The 25638-nt window shown below is 43.0% G+C and overlaps 1 protein-coding gene across 57 annotated transcripts in view, besides 1 other annotated feature; it reads left to right on the top strand.

Annotated features, from left to right (window-relative positions):
* SYTL2 (synaptotagmin like 2) overlaps positions 1–25638 on the top strand; it is a 160642-nt gene that overhangs the window by 27237 nt on the left and 107767 nt on the right. For 51 of the 57 annotated variants that reach the window (NM_001394469.1, NM_001394466.1, NM_001365827.2 and 48 more), the window contains exon 1: positions 16493–16680. The exons of the other annotated variants lie outside the window; for them this stretch is intronic. The gene's annotated coding sequence lies outside the window, so the exon portion shown is untranslated. Of the gene's footprint in view, positions 1–16492; positions 16681–25638 lie in introns of those variants that run through there. 57 annotated transcript variants of the gene reach the window in all.
* Positions 16355–16534: a silencer, noted in NCBI's record as "silent region_3822". NCBI's record gives its function as "represses an Ori minimal core promoter by ATAC-STARR-seq in GM12878 lymphoblastoid cells {active_cell/tissue: GM12878}" and the evidence as "EXISTENCE:reporter gene assay evidence [ECO:0000049][PMID:35858748]".

Here is a 25638-nt window from a genome sequence, read left to right as displayed (position 1 = left end):
ATAAGGCACTGTGCTGGCCACAGTGGACAAAACAGGCCTTTGCTAGGATCCATAGAATATGGAGGAGTTGGCAGGCAGGAATTAGGGGTGGGGAGACAAAGAAGCATGGAGGGGAGCAGAGAGTGCTTCCAGCAGAGAGAACAGCCCCTGGAAAGGCCCAGAAAAGAATGAATGGCATATTGTGAAGACTGAAGAGAGACCACAATAGATAAAGTACAGGGAGCCATAGGGGTAGTGAGGTGAGCTGGTGCCAGATGCTGGAGGACCTTGTCATCATGGGATCCCTTTTCCTCATTTCTTTAAAGCTAGGACCGGTGCAGAGCAGTGCTTCCCAACTGCTCCATGGAATCCAGTGGGGTCCACCTAGGGGCCTCAGAGGGCCTTGGGGAATAGAGGTGGGAAGGGAATGGCTCTGGGATCCAACTTCTGCCTCAGTAACAACAGCATTGCTAATATCCATTTCAAATGTTGGGGATCTGAGTAAGATCACATTGGAAGACAGGGCTCCATGGATTAAAAAAATGATTGAAAGCCACCAGGTCCCCTCTGACTCTGACATCCTTGGATAATAGTATTCCATGCTGATCTCCCTGAGACTATGCTTTCTGGGTTACTGGGTCCTTCGGCTTATTATCTCCTAAGGAGGAGCCCATTCCTGACTGAAAACACTCAGGGTTATGGTGTGAGCAAAGGTCCTGGGACTTGCTAGCCTGTTTTTCACAGAACTTTCAGAAATGGTCCCTGAAATTTCACTTTCCCACTTTCACTGTTCATCTCTTCATGTCAGCAGGAGAGAAGACCTTTCGGCAGGATTCATACCTGCCTTCACGAGGAGTGAATATGTTGTGATGCTGAGTCCCTGCCGACTGTGAACTAGAGCTTTATAGCACATCCACCTCCAGGCTGAAGGGAGTTAAACGAGCATGGGTAGCAACTTCTCCTAAAGTGAGAGCTCTCTCTCTGACATACCGTTAGAGGCTCAGCAAGTATCAGCAGAATTGTTTGCTTTCTGTTTCTCCCCAGCCCCTTGTCCTCCAGACGCTGGCTCCCTAGACCAGCACAGCCTGTTTTAGCTTCTCTCTCACCTGACTCCCCTGGACTTGATTTCTTGCCTCCTTGACCTCTGGACATTGCCTCAAGACCAGGCTCCTGGTCTGAAATTCAACCTTTGCTCACATACACATGGAATCTGCAGACTGTCTCTGCACAGATGGATTGAGGGCCTGGCTCCTCTGATGCAGAGCAGCCTGGCCATCTGCCCAAACCCTCACAGACAGTGGTCCTAATTTAGGGAATCAGTTTGGACACTACTTGACAGCTCTGCCTTCCCCAGCCACTCCCAGCTGCAGCCACTAGATGTCTTCCAGCAGGAGACAGGCCTCCTCAGTCCTCCTGTGCATCCTGACATAAGCAGTGCTTTTCAATGTTTAATGTCAAAAGAATCACCTGGGGATCTGGCCAAAATTATAGGTCTGGGGTGGGGCCAGACAGCCTGCATTTCTAAGACGTTCCCAGGGAATATCAATGTTCATGAACTCCACTTTGAGTAATAAGAAAGAGAATGTGAATAGACTAGCAGCCTCAGCCTCACCTGAGAATGGGATCTGGAATTAGTTTCTTAAGAGTTTTTCACTTATTAGTACACATTTATTAAACACTCTTTCTCTCCGTGGCAGTTGCTATGCTGCTAAGACCCATTCTTTGCTTTCCAAGGAGCTTACAATCTAACAAAATAATATTTCCGTTGCTTAATTCTCACAAGATCCCTATGAAATCATGATTAGTGCCATTTTATACATAAGGAAACAGTCTTAGAGAAGTTAAGAGATTTGTGAAAGATTACACTAACGGGAAATGACAGCCTGGATTCCAGTTAAAACATTGCTCTGGCTCTGGGCCTTCATGCTTTCTAGGATATCTCATGCACCTTTTTCTTGATATTTTTGTGCTGCCCAAATCCATACAGTTGTGTTTCTGCCTCAGTTTCCTTGCCTAACACTTTAGTTGTGGATTAGGCTGAGCTATGCTCCAACCCTCTTCCCCAAATCTTGCTAGAGATCAGGGACCCAGCTCTTTCCAGTCTTTCCTCACCTACCCATCCCCTGTGGGGTCTTCCTATAGATAGTCCAGTTGCTTGGAAACACAAACCGTTGCTCCATGTTGCAAAATAGCTTCTAGGAACTAGCCAGGAAAATGTTCTCTTCCCTCTATAACTCAACCTCATGGTCCTTTTTTTTTTTTTTTTTGAGACGGAGTCTCGCTCTGTCGCCCAGGCTGGAGTGCAGTGGCGGGATCTCGGCTCACTGCAAGCTCCGCCTCCCGGGTTCACGCCATTCTCCTGCCTCAGCCTCCCAAGTAGCTGGGACTACAGGCGCCCGCCACTACGCCCGGCTAATTTTTTGTATTTTTAGTAGAGACGGGGTTTCACCGTTTTAGCCGGGATGGTCTCGATCTCCTGACCTCGTGATCCGCCCGCCTCGGCCTCCCAACTCATGGTCCTTTAGAGCTGCACACTCAGCATCAGGCACTTCAAAACATAAGTAAGCTATGTATTAGGCGTAGTGAACAAAGAAGGAAGTGACACTGATTTATGCAGCATTCATTCTCCAGCCTCTTAACCCAGGGCAATGCACTAATGATCCAGACATCCTTTTCCTAGGGATGGACGTAGCAGCTAGTGGAGCTCCTGAAGTGGCTTGTCCCAAACCCTATCTCAGCTGTGCTAGTCTCTCTGCCAGCGCTCTAGGGAGAGCAGAAAGGGTGGGATAGATTCTGGAGGAGTCGTCTTCGCAGGATAAATGTTACACAGGCCATAGCAGCTCTCCTCTGTGGTCATGGCTTTGACTTCTCCTAGTGCCCGCACTTTCTTTTCCCCTGCCCTGCTAAGCAGGACCTGCTTCTCAAGCAAGCAAGGAGCTTACTTTCTATTGGCTCCCTTACTCATTTAGTTTTCCTGGAGGACAGGGAAAAGGAGAAATCTTTGCTATGGCCTCAACTATTTTATTTTAGAATGGCAGAATTTAGAAATAGGAATTGAGAAATGTATAATTGCCAGTTCTCACTGACCATTGCAATATTTTCTGTTACTCAATACAAACCATTCTACCCCAAGACACTCAGTGTGACTTTTAGTGGGAAATCTTCAGTGAAATTCTATAAACCATACCCAGGCTGATCCTTTCTTTCACATTCTAATCCTCAAGGAAGATGATCATAAAGCTGATCTTAGGTAAATCTTCTGTGGATGGTATGTCATTTTGAATGATGCCTCCTGCTTGTATAAATGTTCCTTCCCTCCTCACACACACCCAACAGTCAGTAATACCCATCCTGCACAAACCCAAGTTTGCCGTGGACCTTCAGACCCTGTAGTTTAATGTCAGCTGGATGCTCTGATCCTAACCTCTCCAATCTTCTTCCCCACCTCTGTCTGTATTGCTGAGGCCCCAGCATATACTACTCAGCAGCCTGCTGGAGGAGTTATATTATTAGACTGTTTTAACCACATCATAGTTAAAACAGTGCTCTGTAAGTCACTGAGACTCCATTTGCACTCACCCGCACTCAGACAAAATGTAAACATGTTCATGGGTGGCAGTGTGGTGGCCTGTGGTTTCCTTTAATTCAAAGTTAAAGTCCCATTCAGGGTTTCCCATGGTTTCTTTGCAAGTCCCAGAATTGTTACTTGTTTACTCTGAACATGAAGGTGGCTGATGGAAGTTCAACCTGACTAACCACAGCATCCTGTAGTCAGCACATAGATGACTGGAGCTTACGTAGAGTTTACATGCATCTTGAAAACTTTTGAGTGTTATTTGAGCTAGTGCCTTAAGAAGTAACCCGGAGTAAAATCTTAAAGCTTTGCATCAATATTTTCTTTTTGGTATTCCACTCAAGTATAAAAGGTCTTGTGGTCCAACTCTATAATTTTTGACTGTATAATTTTGGCAATTTCCAGGCATTTTTCTATGGAAAATTCCTTTCAACCCAGTAACGGATACTTAGTAGTATTGATAGAATTGACCACAAGTGTTTTAAAAATAGGAAACTTAAAGAAACAAAAAGGGAAATAAATTAGTACATTTTAGATGTTTTAAAAGTGGATTAAAGTACTAATATAAAGCATAATGGGTAAACTATATCTTTACCTTCTTTCAAGTCCACATGCTATTTCTTGCCTTAGAAATTTGTAAATGATCTTAATGTAGAAAGTATCTGACTGAAGACTGTGCAAGCTGGCAGCTGCTAGACTACTAAAATCTTGAATTTTACTGTTGGTGAATGTCAGCCGGCAACATGTACTTGATATTCTATTTAAGGCTATTGGCACACTAGAAGATAATCTAGGACTCAGCACATTTCCCAAACACTCATCAATTATTTATTCATTCTACAAATATATCCAGTGCCTACTATGTGTCAGAAACTGCTTTGGATTTTAAGCCTTAAAATGATGAAAAAGACAATGTTTCTGCCTGCATGGAACTTATATTCTAGTGGAGGCTCAAATGTTTGTTAGTTGAGTAAGTGAATAAATGAAGGAGGGTGGCAAGAGGGAGGAGGCTGGGACTAGGCTGGATTGTGGTGAAAGCAACCAATGTTCCATGATAATGCCTGAGGGCTTAGTCACAGCCACAAGGTTAGGTCCAAGTGTTTAAGCCAGCATGGCGACCTTACCATTCTCTTCACACTCAGAGGCCTACAAGGAGGCCCTGTCTCCATATTCAAGTGCTTGCTTGGGAAGTCATTGCTTTTTGCACCTCCATCCTCCCTTTTGCATGCACTTGTTCCTTAATGTTGGCGTTAGTTACGGTCCTACTCCCTGTCAGCTTGTCCGTCCTCTCTGCCAGGCTCTTTGGATTGATACTTCTTTGGCCTGACTGTGGATTCCTCTTCTTGCCTTTGTCCCTAAATACTTTCCTTGGGATTCCTTCTTGTCTTTATCTACTACTTCCCCTAGCTAATGGCCAGATCTATCCCAATCTGAGCACAGCTATAGTTTCTGATTTGAAGCCTTAGATACTCCCTGACCTAATGGGAAATGAGATGTCAGGGAGTGGAACTTAGCAGCAGCAGTTTCCAGACAGTGATGGCTCTCAGATCCAGGCAGGCAGCAAGGCTGAGTTTGCAGGGGTTCATCTAATTTGGAATAGGACCACAACTAGGAGGAGGAGTTTGACAGGAGAAGGTCAATGGCTCAGGGATTCAAGACAGGTTCTCTGCCCTGGCAGAATAAGTAAAGTGTAGAGCAAATAGTAAGATCCAGTCTTATAGATGCTTGAGCATGGCCAAGGTTGGGGCAAGGCTGTACCTTGCTGCAAGGGGTGGGCTCCAAGCTCATTTTTTGTTAGCAGTAGCCATTCCAGACCCCATGACTAGGAGTCCGAGATCATTGATCTGGTAGTCTGCTTACACCTGAGACTCACAGAGAAAACTGGCTGCAAGAACAGACTTTGAGAGGAGACAGACTAGGGTGCGAATCCCTTCACCTCTCTGATCCTTAGTATCCTCACTTGTAAAATGGGAGTGGTAACACCTGCCTTACAGGGATGTGGTAAGGATTCAATGAATTTGGTATAACTATTAGATCTCTTTGAAATGGAAAGCAGATAAATGAGTCTTTGAGCACCTAGGGCTCTCTATGAGGCCCAACTAAGGGTGGAAATGGCCAGGGCCCCAGTGCTGGTGTGGCTGGCTCTGCTGCCACTGGCAGGGTCTAGCACAGTCATTCAGGTAGAGCTATTCAAGAGCAACAACACCCAGTGGTTGTGCTCTCCCACTGGATTCTGGGGAGTGGTTGGATGTTGGCTCATTCATCTCTGCCACATGCTCATGTGTATATAGTCATCTTATGTTTGTCTTGGCTCTGCTGTGAGCACATTACCTCTCTGGGTACTGAATCTACTTCCTTTAATCTCAAAAAACATTGACCAAAAACTGAAAATGGACATATATATAGCTCCTGTCCCTGAGTCCGTTCCACATACTTAAGCTTCTTTCATTCTTCTGCTCAGAAATCTTCAGTTGCTTGTTATATTTAACTGTACCATTGCTGGACTTTCCAGGCCTTTTATAATCTGATTTTAACATGTCTGGCCATTCTGCTCCCTTTGCTTCCTAACACTCGCCTTCTTTGTCCCACTGGAACCTGTGTCTCTCAATCACGGCTTGCTTCTCCCAGCTCTGGTGCCTTCACCTCCAGTTGTCCCTGTTATTCCTCTTTTAAAAATCCTACTCTTTCTTTAACGTGGCTCAAGTCTCACCTTTCCCTTTTTTGACTCCTGGAGTCCTTATTGGTCTACATGTCTCTGAACTCCTGTGATACTTAATATTTTAGAATCTATAAGATGCTCTAAACTGAAGATAAACCATTACTTTATGTACCATTAGAAAAACACTTCTAATTAAACTGGCAATTGTAGAATGCAGAACACATCCTTATTTCAGAAATGTTAAGCTATAAAAAAAGATGTGCATCTTAGAATCAATGAAATATGGTAACTAGTATGGATATTATTCATAATTAATAGGTGTTATCACTGTTTCAGAGTTGCCTGTTTATTTCACTGACTCACCCACTAGAAAGTACACTTCATGAGGACAGACTTCATGCCTGGCTCATTCACTGTTGTATCCCCCAGCATGCAGCACCCTGCCTGGCACTCAATAAATGATTGGATAAATGGATTTCTAAAGTGATTGAAAAGTTCCTTGAAGGCAGGGATTATGCACTGAACTCTTATATGTCTCCTACAGTATACTTACTTTAAAAATTGAGATATAACATGCATTTAGTAAAGTGCCCAAATCTTAAGTGTGCAGCCTAAAGTCTTTTTACGTATGTATACATCTCTCAAATGAAGATGTAGAACGTTTTCTTGTGGTATGTTTCCCAGTGCTGAGGAATAGGAGATACACATCAGTATTTATCAATACTTACTGATTGATTAAATAGGCTTTAGCAACCCCTGTATACCTCAGATGCAACTATTTTTCCTAGTTTAATGGCTCTTAAACTCTCGTACATGCCAGAATCACCTGGAAGGCTTACAGAAGTGCAGACTGCTTGGCCTCACCCCCAGAGTTAGAATGTCTGTGGTAGAGCCTGATAATCTGCTTTTCTAACATGTTCCCAGGTGATGCTGATGCTGCTTCTATGGGGTGGAAAATAGATTCTTTTTCTGGGTATTAAATGTCTTCCAAATCAGGTGCTCACTCTAGGCAGGGGTTCTTTATCTTTATTTTGCCATGGGCAGTCTGGGAAGTTTGGTAAAACCCATGTGCTCCTTCTCAGAATAATGTTTCTAAATGAAATAAAATAAAATACCCAGGATTACATAGAAAATCAATTATATTTAAATCGTTGTTCAAATTATTTTAAAGTTATTTTTAAAAATTTAGTATTTACAATATCTGCAACAAGTCAACTGTAGTGTTAAATAAAAATGTGAGATTTCTATTGGTGATAAAGTTGCATCTACTGATAATACTACTGTGGGTTGTTGCTTACATTTATAATGGAAGGAAATGCTAAATTTCAAATAGGCATTGATGAAAATAAAGAACCTAGGTTAGGAATCCTTGCCATGCTGCAATCTAAAATGAAATGATCTGCGCTTTGTATTTGGTGAAGTTCTCAAAAATTCAATTCAGTGCAGTGTCCCTCATGCAGAGACAGTGATGCTGGACATTGAGAGAGAGGAATAAGATACTGTCTCTTCCCTTATTCATGAAACTTCCATTTTGGAGAGTGAACACCAAAATATAAACAATAATTAAAGTGGAGTGTTACATATGCAGAAATACAAGAATGCACAAAGCATGTAAGTAGAAGATGGAATGATTTATGTTAGAGCATGAGAGAGAGGGATGAGATCTCAGTTAACTAGAATCCAGTTGAATGGAAGTTGTGGCAGCAGACTGTTACATTGGTGGTCCCTGATGAAACATGCTTCCAGATATTCAGGCCCTCCCACATTGATACTGAACTTGGCTACAAAACCTGCTTTGGCCAAATGAACATTAGCAAGCATGACATAAACACTTGCACATTGAGGCTTGACTCTTGCAATGCTTGGGATCCAGCAGCCATGTGAAAAGCTTAGGCTAAATTACTGAATGAGAGGCCATGTGGGCAGAGGCCTAGGAGAAGGAGAGACCATCTTGGGGCTTCCACCCTCAGCTGAGCTCTCAGCTGAGTGCAGCCGCATAAGGAATCCCAAGTAGTGAGTGCGGCAACAGAACCATCCAACCCACAGAATCGTGAGAAATTATAAATCATCATTTGACCACTGCATTTTGGAGTGGTTTGCAGCAAGCATACCAATAGATAACTGAAACAGTTGTTTTAAATTTCTTTAATATTTTTCCTTTTCCATTTGTCTTTTAAAGATGCAGAGGGTAACATAATCTGAAGCAGAGATTTTTTTGCAAACAAGTAAGCACAATTTTCAGAAAAGCTACTAGTATTTTATATGTTTAAACCCTATAAGATCTATGACTAGAGAATTGATATGAAAATTATGACAGGTAAATTTAAATGCTGATCTTCAGAGAGTGACTGTCTTAAAAATCATAAACTCTTAAAACCTGGGATTTTGAGCTGAAGAGATCTTGGAATCTATGCAGCCTGACTTCTTATTTTTAGAGATAAGGACACCGAGGCAGGAGAGGTTAAATGACCTATTCAAGGCCACACAGTATGTTGTTAGTAGGGTCCAGAAGAAAAGACAAATCTCTGACTTCAAATTCAGTATCTTTTAATAAATACAAAATATTAGCTGGGTATGGTGGTGCATGCTTATAGTCCCAGCTACTCTGGAGGCTGAGGTGGGAGGAATGCTTGAGTTCGGGAGGTCAAGGCTGCAGTGAACTATGATCACACCACTTCCCTGCAGTCTGGGTGATAGAGCGAGACCGTCTTAAATAAATAAATAGATAGGTAGATAGATAGATAGATAGATAGATAGATAGATAGTAATTTATACATTACCATGATCTTATTTACATTTTTACTATAGGCAAGTGGATATTTTTTTCCATCCTTTCCAATTTTTATTGATGGAAAATCTGAGATTCAGAGTTGAAGAGACCTGCTGATTTTTACATAAAACCAGAACTAGATTCTTGGCCATATGACCCCCGGTCCAGGGCTTTTTACTTACGTTGTCTGTGATATTCAATATAAAAAGCAAGGAAATAAACTATTTTTGAAAGAGAATCAACAGCAAACCCTAATCTGATTCATCTTTGAATTCTTCATAGCAATATACCATATATAATGGTCATTCAATAAGTATTTATAATATGAAATAAGTACATGAATGAGTAATTTAATAAACAAGGGATGTAACAAAATTATGTTTCATGTGTATGTCTCATGTGCACCACGCACTTCATCCTTGAAGTGTATGGTTAATCAAGGTTCCTCTGGCCAGGCACGGTGGCTCACGCCTGTAATACCAGCACTTTGGGAGGCTGGGGCAGGTGGATCACTTGAGGTCACGAGTTCAAGACTAGTCTGACCAACATGGTGAAACCCTGTCTCTACTAAAACTACAAAAATTAGCTGGGCATGGTGGTCCATGCCTGTGATTCTAACTACTTGGGAGGCTGAGCCAAGAAAATCGCTGAATCCGGGAGGTAGAGGTTGCAGTGAGCCAAGATCACACCACTGCACTGCATCCTGGACCACAGAGTGAGACTCTGTCTCAAAAAAAAAAAAAAAAAAAGAAAAGACACAAAGGTCCTTCTGTACTTGAAAATAAACAGGGGATAAAAACCCCAGTCAGTAGCAATGATAACATTTTGTAATTATTGTGCTTTGAATTCTAAAGCAGAGTAACTAACACAGATGTAAGATCTTTCAACATGACTCTCTTATCCTGTATACAATAACTCACAAGTCCCTCTCTGGATGTGGCACCGTGGTAGGAAGGAGGTGATGGGAGAACTTGCCACTGAAACAATGAGAAATAGAGCTGACTGCCTCTTCTCCCAAGTGGGAAAACTGAGGTAGGGAATGTACCCAGTCAGCTTCAAGCAGGCCTTTACAAAAGAAATATAATATAAGCCACATATTTAATTTAAAATATTCCAGTAGCCACACTAAAAAGTAAAAATAAACAGATGAAATTAATTTTCATAACATATTTCATTTAATATATTCAAAATATCATTTCAACATGTAATCAATACAAAATTACTGATGAGGGGTGTGTGTGTGTATATATTTTACACTTACAGTACGTCTCAATCTAGACTAGTCACTAGCCCCAGGGGGCTGGTGGCTACCATTTTAAACAGCACAGGCTGTGTATCCTTGGGTAAGTAACTACCCTCATATAACTCAGCTTCTCATCTGTAACCACTGAGAGCTGCTTAGATGATTACATGAAATAATGGGTATACACGAATTTAGTCTAGTTCCTGGCAGGTAGGACGTACTCAAATAGTAGTAGCTGTAATAATCTACCAGGATCTCACTTTGTCACACAAGTGCTCAACCCCATTCTGGATTATTTTAAAAAGTTAGTAAGAGTCACTACACAGATTACTGTTTTCTCTTCTGCAGTAGGTGCAGAGGGGCTCTTAGGTAAGATGAATTTCAAAGATTAAATAAATAAAACTAAAAAGGTCATGGGTTATGACATTATAACTAGACTTCTTCTACCAGAAAGACTCTCTTATAAGATGGTCTTTTTTTTTTTTTTTTTTTTGAGACAGGGTTTTGCTCTGTCACCCAGGCTGGAAAGTTTAGTGGCATGATCATGGCTCACTGTAGCCTTGACCTCCTGGGCTCCAGTGATCCTCCCACCTCAGTCTCCTGAGTAGCTGGGACCACAGGCATGTGCCACCACGTCCAGCTATTTTTTATTTTTATTTTTTGTAGAGAACAAGTCTCACTATGCTGCCCAGGCTGGTCTCAAACTCCTGTGCTCAAGCGTTCTTACTGCTTCAGCGTCCCAAAGTGTTGGTATTACAGGCGTGAGCCACTGTACCCAGCCATTCTAACCATTTATAAATGTACAGTTCTATGGTATGAAGTACAGTCACATTGTTTTGCACGTGTATGCAGAACATCTCCAGAACTTTCTCATTGTCCCACACTGAGACTCTGTATCCATTAAACAGTAACTCCCTATTACCTTCTCCTCCCTAGCCCCTGGTAACAACTATTCTACTTTCTGTCTCTTTGCTTTTGACTATTCTAGGTACCTCATATAAGTGGAGGTCCTCTATTTTTTGAAGTAATATTTGTTTTTTTCATTAAACAAAATAACAAAATCTGTTCTAAAACAGTTATAGAGGAAACCTAGAGGTTTTTAAAAAAGTGTAATGTTGACAGTCACAGATGAAAGACACTGAAGTAATAACTAATGATGATGACACATACATATCTGAGGGAAGTGATCACTACAAAAGTTGTTCTTTACTTTTTCTTTTTCTTTCCTTATTTTTTAATTTATTGAGAAGGAGTCTCACTCTGTCACCCAGGCTGGAATGCAGTGGCGTGATCTCGGCTCACTGCAACCTCCGCCTCCCAGGTTCAAGCGATTCTCCTGCCTCAGCCTCTCGAGTAGCTGGGATTACAGGCATGCACCACCACACCTGGCTAATTTTTTGTACTTTTGGTAGAGATGGGGTTTTACCATGTTGTCTAGGGTGGTCTCGAACTCCTGAGCTCAAGCAATCCACCAGCCCTGGCTTCCCAAAGTGCTGGGATTACAGGAATGAGTCACCGTGCCCAGCCAGTTTTTCTTTACTTTTTAAAGGAAGGCCATATGAAAATACATACACAGGGTTATAAATTATAATATATGAGATTGTTGCTCATAAAGATGATACATAATGATGCCACAGTTTTCATGAATATATGAAATACCTCTGGTGTAGTAGATCCGTGGGTCCTAACCTTGACTTTGTCATTTGCAATTTGGCCTTGGTTTAAGGGCCTGATCCTCTCATGTGCCTCCTATCTTCATCTGTAAAATGCAGACACTAATAGCTGCGCTTCCTACATCATAGGGTTGAATGAAGATCAAACAAGATAATCAAAGTGAAAGGGCTTTGAAAAATACAAAGAGCTGTAGAAGTTCAAGGCATTATTAAAGACTGTGGAGAGATTGCTAACACAATTTGATTCAAGGCCAAAGTTTTATACTTTTGAAAGTTAAAAGAATATTCAGTATTTACAAATTATTTAAAAAACCAAATTCTTGCTTTGGTGACTCAGTACCATGACTAAATTGTGTTTTAAATGCTGTACATTTGATACGTAACTGGTATAAGTCATCTAACCACATTACCATGCCAGATATAATTATATAGCATTTTAGCAATATCTACAATTTCTGGTGGTTAAGAAGTTATAAATTCACATAGCTTAAAGACAAAGTCATGTCTTTAAGAGAAAGGTTCTTTTACTTTTTCATTGTGGCAAAAGTGCTGCTCTTTGTAACATGCATACTATGAGAGACCTGTTTGTCAATGCAACTTATCAAGCATTTATTTAGTGCCTATTGTGTATAAGTCATTTTGGGTATCAATGAGGTGGGGAGAAGGATGGAGGTGGTAAGAAGAAATACAAGAGAAAGAAGGGGTCCCAGAAGTGGGTGAGCTTTAAAACTAGTAGGGGGTGGCAGATCCTGTGACAAGTAACTATAAAGACAGGATGAAATCGATGCCAAGAAAATGCTTGAGGAATACACCATGGGAATTGGAGAGGTTGCAAGGATTAATTTTTTCAGTCTAGGAGGGTGAATCTGGTGACACTTGTCCTAGGCCTTGATGCATAAGAAGGATTCCTTGGGTCAGAAACAGAGGGAAGGATATTTCAAGCTTGAAGGAACCACACCTAGCTTATGCTACCAATAAATATTTACTTACTAGCTGATAAAACTAAACGATTTAGCAATGTGCCTGTGACTCTACAAAGTCACAGGTGGTGTTGGGTGGTGTTAGGGGTTAAATTTCAGATTATCATTTAAAAGCACCAGCCTTCCACCATTCCAAGAAGGCAGCTCAGAGAGTGGTCATACTCAATTCTGCAAACAATATTCCATTTTGTTCAGTTCCATAGAGCTACAAGAATCTTATCCTTGTTCAGACAGGGGTTCTCAACTTAAATAAGTCTACCTACAAAACTCTTTCAGGCCCATGCCCTACCTGCAGTTTTCTAAGCTCACTTCTACTCCTGTCCCAGTTAGTTTTCACAGATCCAGCACCAACCTTTACATGTAGGTTTAGTTTTTTCCAGGATTACATTTCCCCTTTCCAATATATTAGTTACAGTCACATACACTGAAGGAGGGGGACAATAAAAGCTTACATTCAAATGTGACCAAGGTAGATGTTGAAGGAGGGCTACAAGTTAGGTCATCTGGAAGGGGTGACAGAAAACTGGGGTGCAGAGAGGCAGGCAGAGGCATGGAGATTATTCTTTCCAAAAACTATAATAACTCTCTTCCAACCATTATCACACCATTAGCTAACAGGAATTGAGATCTTACCTTGGGCCAGGCAATATGCTATATGTGTTATGTGTTATCTCCTTGGCATGGGGCAGGTAATATGACTACTTCTATTTTATAGAAGAACAATCGCTAACAGAAGTTAAGTGACTTAGGCTGGGTGCAGTGGCTCACGCCCGTAATCCCAACACTTAGAGATGCTGAGGCGGGCAGATCGCTTCAGCTCAAGAGGTCAACATTGCGAAACCACGTCTCTACTAAGAATACAATAATTAACTGGGCGTGGTGGTGTGTGCTTGTAGTCCCAGCTACCTGGAAGGCTGAGGTGGGAGGATGGCTTGAGCCTGGGAGGTTGAGGCTGCAGTGCGCTGTGTTTGTGCCACTGCCTGGGCAACAAAGTGAGACCCTGCCAAAAAAGGAAGGAAGGAAGGAAGGAAGGAAGGAAAGGAGGGAGGGAGGGAGGGAGGGAGGAGACTTGTCTAAAGTCACCCAGAGAAAGAAGGAAATTAAGTGACTTGTCCAAAGTCAACCAGCGAGTTCTGTGGTAGAGCCAGGAGATACACCAAAGTCTGTGCATTTAACCTTACACCATGCTATCCCTACCCTCTTGCCTTCCCCTTCAATGTCAACCTAGAATTCTCTAAAGTTTAAGTGTCACTTATATGTAAACCATTTTGAAGGGTTCCTATGGGATAAGTGGAACAGGCCATTGCTGACTTGATATGATCGTGTTAACCAAGGCTTTTTCAGTGCACTGTATGTGCAAGGCATCATGCTAAACATGTGCATCTTCTTTTAATCTTCACAGTAGGCCTGAGAGAGCAGTGCAATTATTTTCTCTCTAACAAATGAGCAAACTGAAGCACAGGGAGGTTGAGTAATTGGTCTAAGGTCTTATTAGAAATTGACATTTCTAACAGCATTTGGATCTTGGCCAAGAGCTCTAAGATTTAGTCTCTGAGCCATACAAGATTTAGATGAATTGGGAGCCATAACAAGACCCTGCCTTAAAATTTCTCCCCCACTTGCCTGCCCCACAACCTGAAGCAAGGATCCTGTGACCCTCTCTAGCATTTAGGCATTGCTATTTGTTTCCAGGGGACGAGTGATACTGGGAACAGCATGTATTTAGTTCCTTCAAAGTCCTATGCCAGATGATACAAGGCACCCAGAGGTGAGCAAGACCCAGTGCCTGCCCTCCAGAGCTAGAGAGGGGCAGGAAGGGGATAACCAAGGCAGGTGCAATCAACAATAAAAGTGAAGTACCAAAAGCATCTGAGGTCACGCTACTCCCCTGCCTAAAATCATTCGCCAACAGCCATCACCAACAGGACACAGCCTGCTTCCCTCAGCAAGGCAGGTACAGCCACTCCTCCAACATCTGCCCACCTACCTCCTTAGCTTCATCTCTGCCTCATTGTCCCAAATCCTGTGCAATAGCCGTGACATATGACAGGCATCTCCATGTCTCTGCCTGCCTCTCTGTGCCCAGTCTTCTGTCACCCCTTCAATCTGACCTAATTTGTAGCCCTCCTTCAAGACCTACCTTGGTCACATTTGTATTTTTTATTGTCCCCCTCCTTCAGCGTAGTGACTCTACAACACTTTGTCAACCTATTATAACACTTACCCTAAAATGAAATTATTTACAAATTTGTTTCTTCAAAGGCAAGACCAGTGGCTTATTCCTCTTTTGCATGTGGCATGCTCACCCAGCACAGGGACACACCAGGCTCTCAAAGGCTGAAGGAAGCCAGAATACACATCTCTGCACAGTGCCAGGACTCTTGGGCCAGGCTAGCAGCCTGCACTGGGCACTAACTGAAGCCCTTGGGGATAAGTATTTGTAAGTTTGGGAGAAGGAAGACCTTTGGAAGAACCAAAGGCAGACCTGGGCCACCCTCAGTTAAATGGACAACACTAGTCCAGGAAATGATAAGGAAAAAGGCTTTAAGGTTCATCTCCTTCAGAGGTTTGCCTGGGCTGGCCCCATCATGGGTAACTTGTAAAAAATAGGTCGTGATACAATTTTTAAATTATTTTATTTATTTTTTTGAGACAGAGTCTTGCTCTGTCACCCAGGATGGGGTGCAGTGGTGCGATCTTGGCTCACGGCAGCCTCCACCTCTCGGGTTAAAGCGATTCTCCTGCCTCAGCTTCCTAAGTAGTTGGGACTACGGGCGCTCGCCACCACACCCAGCTAATTTTTCTTTTTTCTTTTCTAATTAGAACAGAGTTTTGCTATGTTGGCCGGGCTGGTCCCGAACTCCTGACCTCGGGTTATCCACCTGCCTCGGCCTCCCATAATGCTGGGATTACAGGTGTGAGCCACCGCGCCCGACCACAATATTGTATTTACTGTATTGCATTGTCTGCCTCCCTGCCACACAGCGTCTTCCAGGAGCTTACCAGTCCTCTGTGCATACCCCAGTAAGTAGCTCAGGCAGTGCATGACGCCCTCACCTTTCTCTAGGTATTATTGTATTTTAAAGCATCACTTCATTTAGTCCTCTCAACAACTTTTTTCCCCCCTTCTTCTATTTCACATGTGAGGAAATTGACGTCCCGAGGGTTAAAGCAAGTTACCCCATGACCGGGCTCCATACCCTCCGCGCCCCTTTCCCTGCGCGGTGGCTGTCCCTTCTCGGAGTGCAGAGGCTCCTAGTGCTCCACACTCTCGGGCTCCAAGGCCCCCTAACGCGCCGTGATAAAAATAATAATAACAATAACAACAGTGCTGCTTTATTTGCACAGAAAACAGGTTGTTTCGGGGCAAGGTACACTTGAGAAGGAGGCTAGGAACCGGAGAGAAGCAGCAGGCGGGGGCGGAGGGCGAAGGGAGGGAAGGGGAGAGGGCAGGGGCTGGCAGGCGCTGTGTGCCGGGCGAGGAGGCCGGGGCGGGCCGGGGCGGGGAGCGGGCGAAGCGCCATTGGCCCGAGCACCCGGGACCGGCCCCACCGCACCGCCCGCCGGGGGCGGGGGTAGCGGGGAGGGACTCGCGCACGCCGCTCTGCGTTGACAGTGCCGGGCGACACCCGGGCCGTGCCGCCAGCGTCCGTCGGGAGAGTGAAGGCTCGCAACGCCTTGCCCGGGGGAAGGTAACGCGCCGCGCCCGGGGCTGCGCGGTTTGCACCGCCAGGCCGAGGGCTGGGGGCCAGAAGACAAGAGAGACGGCGAGGCGCGCTCCCTGCCCGGCAGCGACTCGGAGGTGCGCACTCGGGTTCCAGTCTCTACTTGGCCCACTCGCTGTGTTACCTCGGGCAACTTTGTTTCCCTCTCTTGGTCTCTGCTTCCTCCTCTGTTAAGTGAGGGAGGTGGTGTAGAATGTTGTTCCTTAGTCTAACCAGTTCTAAAATGGGAACTGCGTTTTGGCACGGGGAAAGCTCCTTTCCTCAGTTTCCCACCTACTCCAGAGCCACCTCCGCTGCCCAGGCGGCCAGGAAGCTGGGATGCCCGGGTAGGCGAGGGTTCTGCTGAGCTATCGCGTTTTCTAGGGCTTTCAGGGACTGACCTGGGCTTGGGGCTGGGTGCTGGGGAGACCTGGCTGCAGAGTAACTGCCCCCAGATTGCTCAGGTGCAGAAAGGTAGGAGCGTCAGCACCTGTTTACAGGTGGGGTGTTGGGAAGGGCCGGCCAGGGGATGATGATTTCTCCTTTGAAAATAAGACGTGTTTTGGAATTCTCTTCCATACCCACACCTCGTCCCACGGCGAGCTATAAACTACACGAGTGGGCTTTATCATCCTTTGAAGTGGAAAAGCGACTGTTTTTAGCGTCTAAGACACAGGGCTCCACCAGCATATAGGAAGTGGGTCTCTCTTTCTCTGCACCCATCCTGCCGCGTCTTCCCTTTCTTTCCTCCTCTCTTTATAAATCCCCTTTGACCTTGAGGGGCTCCACTTCCTGCCTTAATGAAAAGTTCTTCTTTTCATTTAGTGCTGGTTTGTGACCAGCAGCCTCCAGGGCTTTGGGCGCAGGGTTGAGATAGAAGCCTAGATAAGAACAGGCTATGAATCACCCTGTCAGCCCCCTGAGCCACACAGCCCGGCAGGGATGTGCAGAGGAAGCCCGGTGGGGCTTCAGACAGATAGACCCTGGAAGGTGGGGTGGATGCAAACTGCCATCCAGCTTCCCGTCCCCTTGTTGGCAGCCATTCCCCACCAGGATGGTGACCCCTGCTGTCTGCTGGATGGAGCAGCCAGATAGAGTAGGATGATTGAAAGGAGCTGAGGACTTGGCTGGATTTCTATGGAAGGTCTCCAGCATTTCCCTTCCCTCACTTTCCTCCACCCCTGAAGTTCTGCCCCTTCTCACCCTTAGTGTGGTATCCAGGTGAAATCAGATTGCAGAACCCATCAAGAGCAGCTAGGAAGGAGAAGAGGTGTGGGGACGGCAGCAGGGCAATGTTGACTGCTGTTTAGTGGGCACTTACTATGGGCCAGACACTTCTTTGTATGTAATATATCCTTAATTCTCACAAAGCCACATGAGGGGTGATGTACTATACCCTATTTTATAGGTGAGAAACAGGCTCAGAAAGATTGCTTCCTTTAGTCACTTAGCTAGGAAGTAGCATAGCTGGAATTCAAATCCAATCTCTGATTCTAAAACCTGTGTTCTTTACACTGTCTTTGTGCTCCTTAAGTAAGAGCAAGCTGGAATAAGGAGAGCAAAAATGTCTAACATTGTGTTCTCACCAGGTGTCAGGCACTATGCAAAACATCTTAGAGCTATTATGTCATTTATGGTGCAGGAGTTTCCGTTATTCTGGAGGTAATCTGTGACTGCCTTAGCCTCTCAGCAGCAGTACTGTTCTAGAAGGCCTACCCTAATCCTGCCCAGCTGCTAGTGCGTGGGTGGGGCAGGGCCCTGTTTGCTTTATCCTAGAGGTGGTTTGGGGTCTAATGAAAGATTGATTGTCCACATCTGACCCGTTAGCCCTAACCGTTGGCTGGTGAATGATTCCACTGTCCCCTAAGAGGCCTTTTTCAGGTTTTGCTCAATAAACATTTGTGGAATGAATGAATTAGCACCTTGTGCAGAGTGGTCTGCTGCCTTGTAGAAATGTGAGGCAGCCTAGGGGAAGCCCAGGTTCCACCATCTTCAAAACCCAGATGCTAGTCTAGGTGTTTCTCCTCTTTGGGCAAGGGAGGTAGGGTGAACTGTGCCTGTATAGGCTTCCAGAGCTCCCTGGAAATATGTTTGCTTGTCACCTGTTTTACAAAGAATTTTTAAACATACAGTAGATGAAGAAAAATGTGGCTTTTTTTTTTTTTAAATTAAGAGGAAAACTTACTTGGTATTAATGAGGTTGTCACTCTCTCAAAAGTTGGGGGGATAAGATTATAATGTTTGTCTTAGGGCTTACCAAACTTTTCCATAGAAGATCCTGCAATGGAAAAGAAGACCAACACATGCTCCTGTGCTTATGCAATTTTTTTCATTTGATTTCATAATATATGGACTTTGATTTAAAAATATAAAGTTTTTTCTTCAAAATATCTGAATAAAACTGGTGTCCTGGCAGATTGTTATATATTCTTAGGGGCTTCGAGTACCCAGATGGAGAAGTAGGACCAAGGTTCTAGAGGGCTTAGACTACTGTTTGAATTTTCCACTCTCTGGTTCACAGTAATAGAGCTTCTCTAGTCCCTGGGGAGACATCCACTTTTTTCCCATTTTTCAGAATGAAGAATGTTTTAAAAATAAAAATATCCTTTATTTTCTTATTACCAAAACTAAACATATTCATTGTAGAAAAAAATATAAGATCCAGATTAACATTAATAATAATATCAGGCCGGGTGCAGTGGCTAATGCCTGGAATCCCAGCACTTTGGGAGGCCGAGGCAGGTGGATCACAAGGTCAGGAGTTCGAGACCAGCCTGGCCAATATAGTGAAACCCCATCTCTACTAAAAATACAAAACTTAGCTGCGCGTGGTGGCATGCGCCTGTAGTCCCAGCTGCTCAGGAGGCTAAGGCAGGAGAATCTCTTGAACCCGGGAGGCGGAGGTTGCAGTGAGCTGAGATCATGCCACTGTACTCCAGCCTGGGTGACAGAGCAAGACTCCATCTCAAATAATAATAATAATAATAATGATATAAATACATCTATACTCAAATAATTAAAGCAAAACTTGGGATATAGCGTTCCAAATCTTTTTCTTTGCATCTATATTAACAAATTTTAAAAACACACACACAAATACAGCCCTTTTGACTGAATTATTGTCAGAGCTAAGAGCCATCTCAGATTGTTTTTGACAGAATGTAGAGAAAAAATCATGAATAATTAAAAGCATCATGAAGGTTAATCTTGTTTGTGAGCCCCGAAGTTCACCCCTCATAATTTCCCTGTATTTATCTTGTGGGAGAGATGAGTGCTGGGCCATGGGGCTGCTGTTGAAAATGCAGGGTCAAGCTGTACTCTTGCTAAACATCTCAAATATAACAGAAAAGGTAGCTCTTTAGTGTTGCTGATGTGCAAAATTTGAGCAGAAAATTAAAAAACTAATTTGCACAGTAATTTGCAGAAAATTCAGGAGGGTCCTGGAGAAAGTCATTGCCCCAGCATTGCATTTTATTACCTGTGTGACCTTGGGCAAGACAGATGGCTTCTCTGAGCTGGTTTCCACTTTTATAAATTGATGATAATAAACAAATTCTATCCTCACTTACCAGAATCACTATAAGGATCAAGTGTCAGGTGTTATTGTTTGTTACTTGGATTGCATGCATGTGTGTATGCTATTAATATTTTAAAAATGTTTAAACATAGAGGCAATAAAACATTATCAGTCTTTATAAAATCCTGGAATCCAACTCTTGGTATTAGTAGGACTTAATCATGATGTAAATGCTCTATTGGGACTCAAGTTTTCTTCAAAGAATGTAGGTTTCCTTGGTGGCTAGTATCTCATTGATCCTCATCACAATCCTGAACAGAAGAGGACAGAAGATAGTCCCATTTTATAGAATGAAAGCAGGCTTGCCACTCAAGGGAATTGTTCAGTTACACAGGGAGTCTCAGAGCTCCTGGGAGCTGTCTTGACTTGCCCTAAGCAAGGCAGAGGCTTGCTAAGAGGAAGCAATGAGAGCCACTGGAAAGGCAGTGTACCCATGGGGGCATGTGAGTGCCAGTAGCCATTGCCTCAAGGACTGCTCTCAGGCATACGCCGTGCTCCTGGATGCTCTGAGGAAACAATGGGCCCTGCACTGGGAGGCAGGTGGCTTGGTTTCAACTTCTGCATCTGGCAAAGACAATCTGTGCAATCTGGGTTTAGTCACACTTTCTCCCTGAGCCTTGGTTTCCTTATAAAGTTAGAGAATTGGACCAGATGAGGGTCCTTCTTGTCTTAAAAGTCTGATTCTGGGTTGTTTTCTATTCATGGTTTCCCAAGTTGAAGTCTGGTAGAGAATTTCCACATCCAGATGAATGAGATATGAGAAAATGTTTCTACTTTCTGTTGCTTCAAGCTTTTGACGCCTCCTCCTGATTTTCTAAGGGCCTCCTCTATTGACTGCCTTCATGCAGAACACATGATCCACAGATCATTGAGAGGAGAGTGGTTTCTGCTTATTTATTTTTTATTATTAATCTATAACCTCTTGAGATTGTTAGGAAAACTGCTTTAAGGGAATTTTGGGGAAGGTAGGTTGACAGAAATACAGTATAATGAAAGCAGGTTTAAAAAATGGTAATAAAGCCATGTGTTTCACTAAGTATTTGCCTCTAAAGTCACTACATACAGTATTTTTGCCTAGTGCCCATTTGGGCACTTGGACCTGTGCTAGGACTTTTGCAGAATGTGGGAGAAGCACATGACCTCACTCTTAAGTGGCTCAGAACTGGAGAGGGGGAGAAAGAGAAGGAAAAAGGGAGCAAAGACATGTGCAGCTATGATTGGAATAGGATGGAGATGAAAAGAACAATTTAGGAAAAGATTGAGCCCCTGAGGGCTCAGACTTTGTGGTTTATTTCTGTATCCACATAGCCTGGCACTGTTCCTGGCACTCAATGGGAACTTAGTATAAGTAATTTAAATTAATTAATAAATGAACAAATAAAAGAATGAATGAATCACTCTGCTGAAATGTGGTGCAGTGTCCTCAGATTACTGCAGTGACTTCTTCACCTATGTGAACTACCTGCAACCTACAAAACCACTTTCCTATGTGTTATCCCTTGTATTGATGATTGAGATAAAAGAAGGCCAAAATAAGAGCATTTCCTAATCTTATACTTTCTAAACAGTTTGTAGCTACTAGTATAGATTTGGTTTATTATTCCGAGATAAGTTGTCCTCTTTCTATAAATGCATCAGTAAATATTTGGGGGTAGGTAGATATAAGACGTAGCAAACAATTCCACGTATTTGCCTTCTGAGTTAGAGGGGGAAAGAAAGGTATCAGTTGATTTCTGAGTGAATATAAGTTTCTTTTTTTCCCTTGCAGAAGCATTGTTTTACTGTAAGTCTTGACAGAATGGATGCCAGCACCACTAGCTTCTGATTAGACAGATGTGTTTTGTGCTGCCATCCCTCCCGGCCACAGGAGCCTGGACTCTCCTGCCTCTGGCTGAGTCACTTGATTAAAACACAGGGCTTTGAGGCTGAGGGCATTAGCTGGATCCCAGGCAAGCTAAGTTCCTCAGTCAAATCTATTGCCTGACAATTCCCATTCCCTTTGCCAGTGATCTGTGTTGGGAGGAAGGCTGAGCTGTATTGTGTTAGATTTCTTAGGGCAGATTCTTTACCACTGTTGGTTTTAGACTAGCATTTGAGTTTTATAAGTAAAAGGTTTAGGTTTTCAGTTTTTTTGTTTTTTTTTTTTTGTAGAGATGGGATCTCACTGTGTTGCTCAGGCTGGTCTTGAACTCCTGGGCTCAAGCAGTCTTCCCACCTTGGCCACCCAAAACACTGGGGTTACAGGCATGAGCCACCACACTCGGCCCTTTTTCTTTTAGTTATAGTCTAGGGTTGTTTCAGTTATGCCATTTTGGGACACGTTCAGGGTTTTCATCCTGAGACCTTTGCTATCCCCAAGACTGCAACTATTGTCATAGCATGTAATTCCCTCCATGTGTCTATAAAATGAGAATGATCAGATTTGTTTGACAAGATTGTTTAGAGGATTAAATGAGGTCCTGTATTTAATGAAAACCAGCAAAAGCAGATTGAGATGCTGTGCTGGGTGGTTGACCAAAGACTTACCAGCCAAGGACTCACGACTTCATTCCTTTCTGGTGCTACTGTTGATTTAGCTACAATTTCTACATGACGTCTTCAAGGTAAGTTATGAATAGTTGGAGCCACCGGCATTCAAATGCAAATATGATAGATCTACTGCTGTTATGGCACCTAGAGGTAGTAACTGGTTATGTAGGATTCATTTTATTCAGTTATTTTAAAGGTATTTTACCTGATCTGGTATTTTTGGTTGCTAATGTAACATACTATATCACGTCTAATTGCTTCAGACTGAAAAACAGTCTGAAGCAAGTGAATGATGAAGATGTCTGACATTTATTGAGCACTTACTATGTACCAGGCAGTATTCCAAGCACTATACCTACATCAATTTATTTAATCCTCACAATAATCTATTATTGATACTATTTTTGGTACTATGATTGTTTCTATTTTATGATGAGGAAATTGAGGCCCATATAATTTAAATAAGTTGCCCAAGGTGACACAGCCAATAAGAACAACAACAGAGATTTGAATCCAGGCAGTTTGACTCCAGAGCCCATGCCTTGGATCTTTGGAAGATAATCTGATATAATTGTACGCTATCTGTACCCTACTTGTATTCTGCTCTACTGTTCATGAAATTACGTACGAAGCTGCAAACTGAGTTCTAGATGCAGAATGAGGGTACATAGCTTGCGATAGTGTTTTGACTACACAGGATAACCCTTGAAAATGGGCTTGTTGCAAAAATTTAGAAAATTTTGTTACACAGAGATAGTAATAATTAATAAAGTTTAAGTATTTCAGGAAATATTAGGGGGTGACACCAGACTACAAAGTGATGAGTCAGCAACTTAGTATACTATTTAAGAATCAACACTACCTGGAATGTAGTAACTGAAGTGTTGTGTTTAGGAAGTTGAATACAGGTAAATCACATAATTTATAGTCCTTTACTTAGAAAAGCAAAAATAGTATCTTTCTTTTCCATTCCTTTTAGGGATGCTACAAATAACAACAACATAATAAACAGAATGTCTGTTATCTATCTAGTGCATACTCTGTGTCAGTCCCTTTGCTATGTCCTTGTTCCTCTAATTGGCAGGACTACTCTCTAAAGTAGGTGATAATTATCCACTTTACTGATGAGGAAATGGAAGCACAGACAAGTCCTTTGCCCAAGGTCACAGAGGTGGTAAATGGCCAAACAAACAATTGATCCCAGGTTACTTTGACTGGAAAACCTGTACTCTTTTCACAACCCAGTATTGCCTCTTTGGGGGGAGTTCTCTAAAGGAAAGATGTTATATTCATGCTTACTGAATCCTGTGTTAAGACATATGTTTGTCACTAGTCTTGAAACAGATTATAAATATTCAAAACTAGGACTGTTCCAGAAAACCTAGGATATTTCTGTTACCATAGAGATGTAATGATGGGCTTAACATAATCTTCCAGGAAAAACAACTGGGTTCTCCCAGCGCTCCATGGCCTAAGGAGTCAGCCACTTATTCCTGCAGTTATGAAGCAGCACCACCCAGGACTAGAGCAACTGAAATACTATGGAGAACTGGCAAGAAGACCTTAATTACAGTTTATTTTGGGGCATCACAACTTGATAAGTGAGAGGGAATATACTGAAGAACTTGAGTAGAAATGAAGTTGATTTTCATGTTGTGCATGATATGAGGATTTTATAAAGATAAAGAATTTTTATATGAGTTGTCCTAGCAGGACCACTTAGATATGACACATTTTTACAGTTTTATAATATGCATTCTTGAACCTTTTTGAAATAGTATCATACTACCTTTCTGCAAATGTATTCACTGTGTTCTTGCCAGATTCCTAGCAACACCTTGCCATCTGATGGTTATAGCAGATGATTTTGAGGTGCAATCATAGGTGGAAGGTCAGAAGCCAGAGTTATGAAGCATAGTGGCCAACAAGGTGATGGGAGAGGGGTCATGGTTAAGAAGATGTTTCTGGCTAGTGTCCATGTTTCCCATAGAGGCCACTTTGTAGTGGAAATAAACTTGGCTTTGGAATAAGATAAGCTTGAATTTAAACATGAATGCACTTACTAGTTGTGTTATAAAGCAACTAATTTAACTGTGGTTAGCAGCTTTTGAGTTTCTTTGGGATAGGACTCTCAACTTCCTTTTCTGCAAAAATTGCATTCATTTTCTCACAAGATGGGGTAATAAATATATTAAAGCCTCTGACTTTGTGTCTTGCATAGAGTCACTATTCAATAAATGTCAGTTCTATTCATTTTCCTTTTCTTCCTTTCCTTTCTCTCTTCCCTTCTCTTTCTTTCCTCTCTTTCCTTCTCTTTCCTTCCCTTCCTCTTGGCTATTGAAGGTGACAATGGTGAAGTAGTACTTACAGTACAGTGTGGTAAGTGTTCTAGTTAGAAATGCATACAGCTTATTGTGAGATTGCTGAGAGAGCAACTGCCAGGGAAAGTAGGAAGGTGACAGATAAGCTAGACCTATGGCTGAGTAGGAGTTTGCTAGGTTAAGAAGAGACTGAGGGCTGGGTGCATTGGCTCATGCCTGTAATCCTAGCACTTTGGGAGGCTGGGCCTGGTGGTGGGCACCTGTAATTCCAGCTACTTGGGAGGCTGAGGCAGGAGAATTGCTTGAACCTGGGAGGCAGAGGTTGCAGTGAGCTGAGATCATGCCACTGCACTCCAGCCTGGGTGACAGAGCAAGGCTCCGGCTCACAAAAAAAAAAAAAAAAAGAAAAGAAAAAGAAGAAAAGAGAGTGTGGTGGGGAGGAAACGTTGAAGGATGTTTCAAGTTCAAAGCCATGGAGGCAGGGAGAGAAGGGATACCAGGAGAATGGGGAGGCCAGGCACGGTGGCCCATGCCTGTATTCCCAGCACTTTGGGAGCCTGAGGCGTGTGGATCACAAGGTCATGAGTTCAAGACCAGCCTGGCTAACATAGTAAAACCCCATCTCTACT

This window comes from Homo sapiens, chromosome 11, assembly GCF_000001405.40.
Source record: "Homo sapiens chromosome 11, GRCh38.p14 Primary Assembly".
NCBI classification, from domain to species: domain Eukaryota; kingdom Metazoa; phylum Chordata; class Mammalia; order Primates; family Hominidae; genus Homo; species Homo sapiens.
The sequence above is the reverse complement of the archived record's forward strand: the minus strand, read 5'-3'. Positions and strand labels throughout refer to the sequence as shown.